At 43.9% G+C, this 12338-nt stretch overlaps 1 protein-coding gene across 3 annotated transcripts in view; it reads right to left on the minus strand.

Moving 5' to 3' along the window:
• The window catches only part of USP22 (ubiquitin specific peptidase 22), a 43824-nt gene that overhangs the window by 21915 nt on the left and 9571 nt on the right, over positions 1-12338 (minus strand). For 2 of the 3 annotated variants that reach the window (XM_005256575.3, NM_015276.2), the window contains exon 2: positions 7032-7164. The exons of the other annotated variant lie outside the window; for it this stretch is intronic. Coding sequence is in view for 1 of the 2 variants with exons in the window: in NM_015276.2 (NP_056091.1) it covers positions 7032-7164 (133 nt within the window). In the remaining variant the exon portion in view is untranslated. The remainder of the gene's footprint in view (positions 1-7031; positions 7165-12338) is intronic. 3 annotated transcript variants of the gene reach the window in all.

Below are 12338 nucleotides of genomic sequence, written 5' to 3' on the forward strand. Positions count from 1 at the left end.
CACCTTCTCTGAATGCGTGGTATTTAAAACTGGTACAACTGCATTGGATATTTTCAGTCCTGGCCACCTGACACGGAGTGACTATGCTTCCCTCCATCTAGAATTCCTGACACCATCACCATAAAGAATGTGGCAGCAACTTGCTGTGACTTTTGTGGTTGGCGGCATTTGCTACTCTTACCTTAAGTACAGGGGGAAAATAGTTTCTCATCGGATGACTTTGATTGACATCTTGACCCAGAGCTGCCTGAAGGTGGGTCTTCTACCACAATTTCTCAACTGCATCTTCTAAAAAATGGGACTAATAGGCCAGGAGCTGTGACTTATGCCTGTTACCCCAGCACTTTGGGAAGCCGATGTAGGCAGATCATTTGAGGCCAGGAGTTCAAGACCAGCCTGGTCAACATGGTGAAACCCCATCTCTACTAAAGTACAAAAAATTAGCCAGGCATGGTGGCACACGCCTGTAACCCCAGCTATTCGGGGAGCTGAGGCGTGAGAACAGCTGAAACCTGGGAAGGGGAGGTTGCAGTGTGCCAAGATCTTGCCACTGCACTCCAGCCTGGGCAACAGAGTGAGACTCTGTCTCAAAAAATAAAAATAAAAATAAAAAAATTATAGTAATACTAGTATATTCTTTTCACAAATAAGAAGAGATACATATGTATGTATAAATTTCAATTTTCTAAAACAGTCACAAGAAACTGTTCACAGTCGTTTCCTTTGGGGAGAAGTATACATTTTCGTGTCGTTTGAACTTTCTAATCGTGTGCATGTCCAGTTTTTAATTGTCAACATAAACCTTTATTTTATGGAAATAAGATCCACTTTTGCTTTCTTTGTTAAAAGTAATAATTTGTAAAAAGTCAAAAAAATAAAATAAAATAAAATAGGACTAATAGTTTGGGCTCTTAATTATTTTATCATAAAAGTAAGTAAGATAAAGTCCTCTGAGTGCCTGAAAAAAGGTACTCTCTCCATTCAACAATTTATAAACAACTGGGGTTAACCGGGTGTGGTGGTTCACGCCTGTAATCCCAGCACTTTGGGAGGCCGAGGCAGGCAGATCACGAGGTCAGGAGATTGAGACCATCCTGGCTAACATGGTGAAACCCCGTCTCTACTAAAAGTACAAAAAATTAGCCAGGCATGGTGGCAGGCACCTATAGTCCCAGCTACTCAGGAGGCTGAGGCAGGAGAATGGCGTGAACCTGGGAGGCGGAGCTTGCTATGAGCTGAGATCTCACCACTGCACTCCAGCCTGGGCAACAGAGCGAGACTCCGTCTCAAAAAAAAAAAAAAACCAAATGAACCAGGATTACCTACCCAAAGGAAGGTAAATGGCTCTACCATAAAGACACATGCATGCGTGTGTTCATCGCAGCACTATTCACAATAGCAAAGACATGAGATCAACCTAAATGCTCACCAATGGTGGACTGGATAAAGAAAATGTACATATATACCATGGGATACCATGTATACATAAAATGAAATGAGATCATGTCGTTTGCAGGAACATGGATGGAGCTGGAGGTCATTATCCTTAGAAAACTAACATAGGAACAGAAAAACCAAATACCACATGTTCTCACTTATAAGTGGGAGCTAAACCATTAGAACACATGGACACAAGAGGAGAACAACAGACACTGCGGCCTACTTGAGGGTGGAGAGTGGGAGAAGGGAGAGGATCAGGAAAAACAAACAAAAAAAATTGTCAGGTACTACAGTACATACCCAGGTGAGGGAATAAACTGTACACCAAACCACTGAATAATACGTTTATATAACAAACCTGCACATGTACCGTTGAAACTAAAATAAAAGTTAAAATATTTTTTAAAAAACTGGGAGAGAAACCCGGCGTGGTGGCTCACACCTGTAATCCCAGCACTTTGGGAGGCTGAGGTGAGTGGATCACTTGAGCTCAGGAGTTCCAGGACCAGCCTAGGCAACATGGTGAACCCCCATCTCTACAAAAATTAGCCGGGTGTGGTGGTGTGTGTCTAAGGTCCCAGCTACTCAAGAGGCTTAGGTGGAAGGATGGCTTGAGCCCGGAAGGCAGAGGCTGCAGTGAGCCAAGACTGCACCACTGCACTCCAGCCTGGGCGAGAGTGCCAGACTATGTCTCAAAAAAAAAAAAAAAAAAAAAATTGGGAGAGTGGGGCTTAAATCCACGTGATGTCAGACACCCGGGAGGCAGCGAAGCACAGAGGAAAGACCATGGATTGAGAGTAACTGGCACCAGCCCTCACTATGCCACCTGCCAGCTGTGCACCTTTCATCAATTACTCCACACCTCTGAGCCTCAGTTTCCCCTGCGGTAAGATGCTGATAGCAACGGTACTAGTGCTTCCCAGAGCTGTGTGATGATTAGGTTAGTATATAACTTAAGTGCATCCCCGGATAAACAGGGAAGTCTTGGAACACCACAGTTTTATTCTATTTCAGGTCTTAAGCTACTACGACTTATATTGTGGTAAATCTTTGAAGTCTTCCAAAGCAGATCTGTTGAAACTCAAAACAGCAGTTTAAGATTCCCAGGGCTACCTTCTGCCCTACTCAAAAAATTCACAAAATGCCAACAACGATGTTAAAATCCTGGTGGGAGCTGTCGCAGAGCTCAGCCATCAACCTTTGCCACTTCCTGTTCATCAGCAGTACAGCCCCAGCACATGGACGTCACAGAGAAATCCTGACAGAGACAAGTTTACAATAAGGGTGATGAGAATTTACAGTAAGGCCAAGATATCCCGTGAAAAACAGCCCACACATGTAGCTGACAACAAAAACTCTAGCCTGGGAAGACGGATCACCATTCCAGTGCCTATGTAAATCCTTCTAGATTTAGGCCTTCTTTAAGACGCCTTCACACTGCAACGCTCCCACTGCATAAAACCAACCGACATCCACAAGGCATCAGGACCATTTGAGGGGATAGGGTATCTCTGTAACAAATGCTGCTGGGACAACTGAATATTCACCTACAAATCCTTACCTCATACTGTATACAAAAAATTAACTCGAATGGATCAGAGACCTAAATATGAGAACCAGAAATATAAAACTCGTAGAAGAAAACTTAAGGGCAAGTCTTCATGACCTCGGATTTGGTAAGGGATTCTTAGATCTGACACAAAACCATCAGCAACAAAAGAAAAAATAAAACCAGGCTGGGCAGCAGCAGCTCACACCTGGAATCCCAGCACTTTGGGAGGCAGAGATGGGAGGATCACTTGAGCCCAGAGTTCAAGATAAGCCTTGGAAACATGGTAAAACCCCATCTCTACACAAAGTACAAAAAATCAGCCAAGCGTGGTGGCGCGTACCTGTGGTCCCAGCCACTCAGGAGGCTGAGGTTGGGAGGATCACTTCAGCTTGGGAGGTTGAGGCTGCAGTGAGCTGTGATTGTGCCACTGCACTCCAGCCTGGGTGACAGAGGGAGATAGTGTCTTGAAAAGAAAAAAGAAACTGGACTTCATCAGAATTAAAAACGTCTGATCCTGTGCTTCAAAGGACACTATCAAGAAACTAAAAAGAACCTACAAAATGGGAGAAAACATTTGCAAATCATACATCTGCTCAGAGTCCAGTATCCAGAATATACACACACACCCCAACACACGCACACACTGTATACTGTGCATGTGTATATATAAAGAACAACAACAAAAACCAAACAACCCAATTTAAAAAAAGCAATGGACATGAACTGATATTTCTCCAAACATATACAAATGGCCCAACAAGCACATGAACAAATATTCAACATCACTGGTCATTAAGAAAATGAAAATCAAAGCCACAATGAGATACCATTTCACACTATTATGGGTATTAAAAAATAAAAGTGTTGGCAAGGATGTGAACAAACTGGAAAGCTTGTCCATCACTGGTGAGAATTAAAATGGTGCAGCCACAAAAAAAAGATGGTGTTTCACATAAGTTAAGCAGTGACCTGATGACCCTGCCAGCTCACTTCTAGGTATACATCCAAGAGAAATGAAAACATGTCCCCCTAGAATTACACACAATGTCCACAGTGGCACTATTCCTAAGCACCAAGACGATGGGAACAACCCACACGTCCATCAGCAGATGAACGGATGAAGAATGTGGTCTACATAAACAATGGAACATGACTGAGCCATACAAAGGAATGAAATACTAATCCATAATACAACTCAGATGAATCACAAATGCATGCTTGCGGAAAGAAGCCAGACACGAAGGGCCACATGTTATATGATTCCACACATATGAAATATCCAGGAAAGGAGAACCCACAGAGACAGAAGGTAGATTCAAGTCACCAAGGGACAGGAGAGAGAGCAACAGGCAGTGATCTGTTAACGACGCATTCCTCTGTGGTGCAAAAAAGTTTTGAACTAGAGAGGTGGAGGACACACAACATTGTAAATGTGCTAAATGTCACCGACTTGTAGACTTAAAAATGGTTAATAGGGCCAGGCGCGGTGGCTCATGCCTGTAATCCCAGCACTTTGGGAGGCCGAGGCAGGCGATCACCAGAGGTCAGGAGTTCAAGACCAGCCTGGCCAACATGGTGAAACCCCATCTCTACAAAAATACAAAAATTAGCTGGGCATGTTGGTGTGCGTCTGTAAGCCCAGCTACTCGGGTGGCTGAGGCAGGAGAATTGTTTGAACCTGAGAGGCGGAGGTTGCAGTGAGCTGAGACCGTGCCATTGCACAGCATGATATTGAGGTGACAGCTTCCAGATGTCCATAAGAAAACAGCTGGATCATAAACACATCATAGAAGATACAGGTATGTTTTGCCTTAAATCGTCTCACTTCTTTTTTACTTTATTTTTTTGAGTCTTGCTCTATCACCCAGGTTGGAGTGCAATGGCTTGATGACAGCTCACCACAGCCTTGACCTCCTAGGCTCAAGAGATCCTCCCACCTCCTGAGTGAGTAGCTGGGACCACAGGCACACACCACCACGCCCTGCTAATTTTTAAATTTTTTGTAGAGACAGGATTTCACCATGTTGTCCAGACTAGTCTTGAGCTCCTGCGCTCAGGTAATCTGCCAACCTCAGCCTCCCGAAGTGCTGGGATTACAGGTGCAAGCCACACCGCTCCTCCCTCATCTCACTTCTTTAAAAAAAAAAATTAGTAGGAAAAAAAAAAATCAGACACACTGTGTCCAGGCATGGTGGCTCACTCCTATAATCCCAGCACTTTGGGAGGCCACAGCCGAAGGATCGCTTGAGCCCAGGAGTTCAAGACTAGCCTACGCAACATAGTGAGACCCTGTCTCCACAATTTTTTTTTTTTTTTTGAGACAGATTCTCGCTGTGTTGTCCAGGCTGGAGTGCAGTGGTGCGATCTCGGCTCACTGCAACCTCCGCCTCCTGGGTTCAAGCGATTCTCCTGCCTCAGCTTCCCGAGTAGCTGGGACTGCAGGCGTGCGCCACAGCACCCAGCTAACTTTTTTGTTATTTTTAGTAGAGACGGGGTTTCACCATGTTGGCCGGGATGGTCTCGATCTCCAGTCTGCCCACCTTGGTCTCCCACAGTGCTGGGATTACAGACATGAGCCACCACGCCCAGCCTACAAAAAATTTTTCAACACAGGAAGTCACTCGGCCTCCCAAAGTGCTGGGATTCCAGGTGTCGTGGTGTGTGCCTGTGGTCCCAACGAGAGGCTGAGGCAGAAGGATCTCCTGAGCCCAGGAGGTCAAGGCCGCAGCGAGCCATGACCGCGCCACTGCACTCCAGCCTGGACTCCAGACAAAGCGAGACCCTGTCTCCAAAAAAAAAAAAAAAAAATCAGACACACTATCTGTGTCGTCAGCCTCAGTTAAAGCCGTGGGTCTTATCCTTTACTACGAGTACTCCTTGTAGAGAGCTGTAAGGGACGTGGGTGCAGTGACTTTATGGACTCGCATGTTGTTTCCAATAGGTCTTTCTAGGCTAATGTTTTTAAAAGAGCATCAAATTACAGAACTTCAGGGCGGGAAAGCCTAAAAATATCTTTACCTGGAATTGCTAGGCTCACATGAACTATTCCCTAAAACAGGTATCTAGCTTGGACCGCTTGAAAATGCTGTTCTGAAGGATATCCTGCCAACTCCATGAGCATTCCAAGGAAAACACTACTGTGTAGAAGAAACAGTTAATGCACGAAGTCAGAAAACAAAGCCAAGGCCGGGCACAATGGTTCATGCCTGTAATCCCTGCACTTTGGGAGGCCAAGGCAGGAGGATCACATGAGGTCAGGAGTTTTGAGACCAACCTGGCCAACATAGTGAAACCCCATCTCTACTAAAAATACAAAAATTAGCCAGGCGTGGTAGCAGGCACCTGTAATCTGTTACATGGGAGGCTGAGGCAGGAGAACTGCTTGAATCCAGGAAGCAGAGGTTGCAGTGAGCCAAGATCACACCACCGCACTCCACCCTGGGTGACAGCGCGAGACTCCATCTCAAAAAAAAGAAAAAGCCAAGAGCAAAACTGAGTTTTATGTAACTTCTAGAATGTAGAATGAGTTTGATTTTGTAAGGCTGTGAAAGGTAAATTAATCTTGAGGCCACACACAGTGCTAAGGGAGCCTTTTCAAGAACTGTGTGACTGGAAACAATGAAACCCATTGCTGAAGGCCATAAAATCACCTATGCCCACCCAACCCCACGCCAGCCTCAGCGACCTCATATTGCATGGAGCTCTTTCTTTATAAATGTTTGCCTAAGGTGATTCCTATGTGTTTCAAAGGGTCTGACGTTTCATTAGCAGGGACAGTGCAACTTTTCACAGGAAGTCAGCTGGACATAAGACAGCAGGCCATTCACTCAGAACCATCGGATGCGAAGGCAAACTGAGGACGCGATTCAGCTGAGCTCGGCTTGTCCCTTTCACTTCCAAGTGTCACCAGTGAGGGGCACGCATTACTTGAGACAAACGACAAAGTGGACTTTTGGAAGAGTGGAACTGCAAATCAAAAAATCAAAGAGTAGCAATTTGGGGGCCACAACTATCCCCCCATCCCAGAAGCTCGCCTCACCCAGGTTGTGCCGCTTCGCCTTCGCATGCTCGTGAATATGCTTCTTTGTGAAACAGCCGAAGAAGACACAGTAGAGGCAGGAATGCAGCCTGTTGAGGTGGACGCCACAGACATGGCAGATACAGGACTTGGCCTGAAATTCAGAGAAGAGGAGGAGTGAACGCTGTGTGATAAGACAGGGGTGCTCAGAGGAAACAGTCAAGCAAAGCATCCCCCCGAGACAGCTACTGGAAGAAAGGACAGGGAATTCCATCTTCAAGGCTTACTACTCTAGAGGATCAGTTTAATCCTTTCAGTTCCCCCAAACAGGACTTCATTCAGATGAAAACTAGCTCCCCATAGGAAAACTCCGTCCACAACTTCAACTGCCAAAACCCTGTAAGCTACGGGGATGTTCCCCCACCTCCTGCTCCTGATCCTGATGGGCACCCCAAGCCCAGCTCCCATCCCCACTGCAGGCCAGCAACTCACACCTAGTCACCCTTAACCTGGACATCATTTCAGATTTGCAAATCCAGGTTCCAGGACCACAGCAAATTTAGAAGCCAACAAGAAAAAGGGAGGGAGACATGAATCAAAGCAATGTACAGAAGAAAGAAAAAGGAGCAGGGCATTACCAAGAAACAGACCTCACAAACCTGAAATGTTAATCACGGCAATGATGAGCACAGTGGTAAACAACCGTTACACCCCCAACCACCCAGGAGTGCCACTGACTCACAATACTAACGGGACGTGTGAACAGGGACAGCCGCCACTGGCAATAGTTGCACAATTCGAGCACAGAAATGAGTAAGAGGAATTATTTATACTGAGTTTTAAAAGAATCCGTAAGTCCAGATTGATAAACATATACACCTACTATGTACCCATCAGATTTTTTAAAAAAGAAATTAATACTATACAAACACAAAGTCTTCTTCGCAGGAGAATTCCATCTAATAAATATCGTAAAAAGACAAAAATACAAGATCTTCATTTTATGCTTATCATAGTAGTAACTAATTCAGGCAAGAATCATCAGTAGATGCTAGAACCACTGGGTAAAAAAATACTGTGTCATTCACAACTGTGAAAATAGTAGAAAAGGTCCATATAGTCATCAACAGATGAGTGGATGAACAAACTGTAGCATATACACAATGGAATATTAATTACTCCACCACAGAAAGGAGTGAAGTACTGACACATGCTACAGTGCAGACTAGCCTTGAAAATATCATGCTAAGTGAAGGAAGCCAGAAACAAAGGGTCACGTATTCTATGAGTCTATTTACATGAAATACTCAGGATAGATAAATCCACCAACACAACTCAGGACGTTGCCAGGGGCTGGGGACAGGGAGAACAAGGAACAAATAAAAACATTTTCAAATTTGATACAGGTAAGGCAGTGACTGCACAGCAGTGTAAACCACGAAATGTTGCTGAATGATTCCTCTAAAACAGTCAACTGTATTATGTGAATTTCACCTGGATTAAAAAAATATATTAAGTTACATAAACAATTGTCCCTCGGTATCTAGGAATTGATTCCAGGATCCCCTCAGGTACCAAACTCCATGGATACTCAAGTCCCTGATACAAAATGTACTTGCAAATAACCTATGCACATCCTCCCATAAACTTTCAATCATCTCTAGATTACTTACAATACCTAATACAAAGTAGATGCTATGCAAACAGTGGTTATAATATATTGTTTCAGGAATAATGACATGAGAAAAAGTCTGTACATGTTCAGTACTGATGCACCTATCCCTTTTTTCCCCCAAATATCTTTGATTTGTGGTTGGTTGAACCCACAGAGGTGGAACTCAGGCCGCTTGTGTGTGTGTGTGTGTGTATGTATGTATGTATGTATGTATGCATGCACACGTGTACTTGTGTATTGAGGCAATAGATATATACAGTTTCAGAGTATCACTCCAGAGACTACTTCAGTCAATTAAACGGGAAAAGATTACCTCTACAACAAAGAACTCTGGCCAACGCCACCCTAACCAAACTTATCCCCACCACAGAGCAGGCAAGTGCAGAGAACAACATGGCGGCGCCTGTGGCGTGCTCAGACCAACACGACCCATCTGGAACCTGCTCCTGAGAAGTAGGGAGGTATGTCCAAATTGAAGGACTTCTGCAAAATGACTGACCTGAGCTCTTCAAAAACATTAATGTAATGAAAGAAAAATAGGCTAGGAATTTCTAGATGAACCAAATCTAAAGACACATGAAATCAAATGCAATCCATGATCTTGGATTGAATCCTATACGCCAATTTTTAAAGGCATAAAGGATATTATTGGAACAATTCAGGTATTTAAAGTTGGACAATGTATGTTAGATAGTACTATTTGAAAAATTAAACTGAGTGTGATAACTGTATTGCGCTTATGTAGGAGACTGTCCCAGTTCTTAGGAGGTAAACTACCATGATGTCTACAGTCAGCCCTCAGATGATTCAGAAAAAGGTACAGACATAAAACCAGTTAGCAAGAAGCTAACAATTGATGAATCCATATAAATGTATACAATATTCATTTTAGCATTCTTGCTATTTGTTGTAGGTTTCTTATTTTCCAAATAAATGGATAGAAGACAACTATTAAATTGAACACATGTACCCTACAGCCTAACGCTTCAATTCATAGGTTTATACGCAACCAAAGACACGTACAAGGACTTTTGTAGCATTATTACTTGCAACACCGCAGAGCTGAAAATACAAATGTTCATGACTTGTAAAAAGAATAAACTATACTACAGTTAATTGAGTAAAGTACACAGCAATGAAAAGGAACTTATGATATACTCAGCAGCGTGGATGAATCTCAGAAACCTAACACTGAACAAAACAACTAAACACAACAAGCTCCTGCTGTGCTACACACTCCATTATAGTCTATCTCTACTACACAACCTAGGACTGTGCTACACACTCCATTATAGTCTCTCTCTACTACACAACCTAGGACTATGCTACACACTCCATTATAGTCTATCTCTACTACACAACCTAGGACTGTGCTACACACTCCATTATAGTCTCTCTCTACTACACAACCTAGGACTGTGCTACACACTCCATTATAGTCTCTCTCTACTACACAACCTAGGACTGTGCTACACACTCCATTATAGTCTCTCTCTACTACACAACCTAGGACTGTGCTACACACTCCATTATAGTCTATCTCTACTACACAACCTAGGACTGTGCTACACACTCCATTATGGTCTATCTCTACTACACAACCTAGGATGCTCCCCTGCACGGGTTTACCAATCACCAGGGAAGACACATTTTACAGGCCTTATGGAGCCAACACAGCTAAGAGACAGCTTCTCCAACATTATTCAAGCAGCCAACCAACAAGACAACTGGCGCTAAATACAGAAAACAGCTGTCTCTGACATACTGATAAAACCTCAATCTTATGTCTGGTATAGTCACACACCACATAGCAATGTTTCAGTGAATGACAGGCTGCATGTACAATGGCGGTCCCAGAAGATTATAGTATCATATTTTTACTGTAACCTTCTCTATGTTTAGCTATAGAAACACAAATGCTTACAACCGTCTTTCAACTGCCTACAGTGTTCAGTACGGTACGTGCTGTACAGGTTTGCTGCCTAGGAGCAACAGGCTCCATCTCACACAGCCTGGGTGTGCAGCAGGCTGTACCATCTAGCTTTGTGTTAAGTCACTCCATGATGTTCACACAAAGACAAAATCGCCTAACAATGCATTTCTCAGAATGTATCCTGTTGTTAAACAATGCCAACACTGCATTATTATTTTTCCCCAATCTACACTGTGGAACAGCACGTCCATTGATAATACTGTATCAGATTTAAATGTAACAGAGGCAGACACAGGAGTAAGGTAGCACATGTCTTCCAGTGTCTGGAGGAGGCCAGGAATAGCCTCTGGAGTGGCTACCCTGCAAACACTTTATTTTGGACGTCCAGTCTCATAATTTGAGATGAAATTTCTGTTGTTCTAAGTTAATCGGTTTGTGGTGGTTTGTTACAGCAGGCCCGGTCACTCACATGGGGTTCACATTCATTTTTATTCTATCTCCTTTCACAGCACTGTAAAGTAGAAAACACAGCCAGGCGTGTTGGCTCACGCCAGGAATGCAGCACTTTGGGAGGCCGAGGTGGGAGGACAGCTTGAGGCCAGGAGTTCAAGACCAGCCTGGGCCAAATGGTGAAACCTCATCTCTACAAAAAATGCAAAAATTAGCTGGGCATGGTGGCACACACCTGTAGTCCCAGTTACTCAGGATGGTTTGAGCCCAGGAGGTCAAGGCTGCAGTGAGCCAAGATCGCACCACTGCCCTCTAGCCTGAGCAACAGAACCAGACCCTGTCTCAAAAAAAAAAAAAAAAAAAAAAAAAAAAAAAGTTGAAAATGCATTCCCCAGGCACCCTTGCAGCTCATGTTCCAAACATATCTTGAGACACATTTGCAGACGATGCGGTTGGTGAGTAAGCTAAGGAGAGAGGCCCAGTGGGGGCATCCACAGGCTGACATGGACCGTGGAGGGGTGGCACTGTTTAAGCAGCCCAGCACACCACTTTCTGGTGTGGTGGCTCCTGCAGAGGCAGGATTCCCCAGGCTGGCGGGTTTTCCTAGAAATTCAACCTAGAATCTACTACTCCATAGCCCTTGCAATGATTTCTGAATTAAATCCTTTTCTCCTATAAATTAATTCAAGTAGATTCAGTAGACTGCAAGCAAATCCTGAAACATAACTAGGATTTGTATGTGACAGGAATTAGAAGAGGATCAATTATTTAATTGTTGTTGATCTTATGCAGTACAGAAACACCCTGCCAAATTCATTAATTTGGTCCCGATATTAAGAATATTCCTCTGAATATCCTGTCCTCTTATCTCCCCACTCACACTACCTCCCACCCCAAGAAGGATGCGGAGGAGCAAGAGGGGCAGAGCCCTTGTAGTCAACCAGACTTACCCTATGGGATGACTCAACAGTACACTGAATTTTGAGTCCAGCTTTTAAAAGTGTGCAAACATGACACACCACCTTAAGAGCTAGTGCACTTTTCACACATTACCCATGACTTCCTACTGGTCTAAAACCTGAGCATCTTAGGAAGGTAAGTTTAATTCTTGTGCATTCTCTTCAGTGACTTTTTCAAGGACTCAAACACTGACATAAGTGAAGGGACAGGTATAATTTTTTTTTTTTTTGAGAAGGAGTCTTGCTCTGTCACCAGGCTGGAGTGCAGTGGCGTAATCTCCGCTAACTGCAACCTCCGCCTCCCGGGTTCA

This window comes from Homo sapiens, chromosome 17 (assembly GCF_000001405.40).
Source record: "Homo sapiens chromosome 17, GRCh38.p14 Primary Assembly".
NCBI classification, from domain to species: Eukaryota; Metazoa; Chordata; class Mammalia; order Primates; family Hominidae; genus Homo; species Homo sapiens.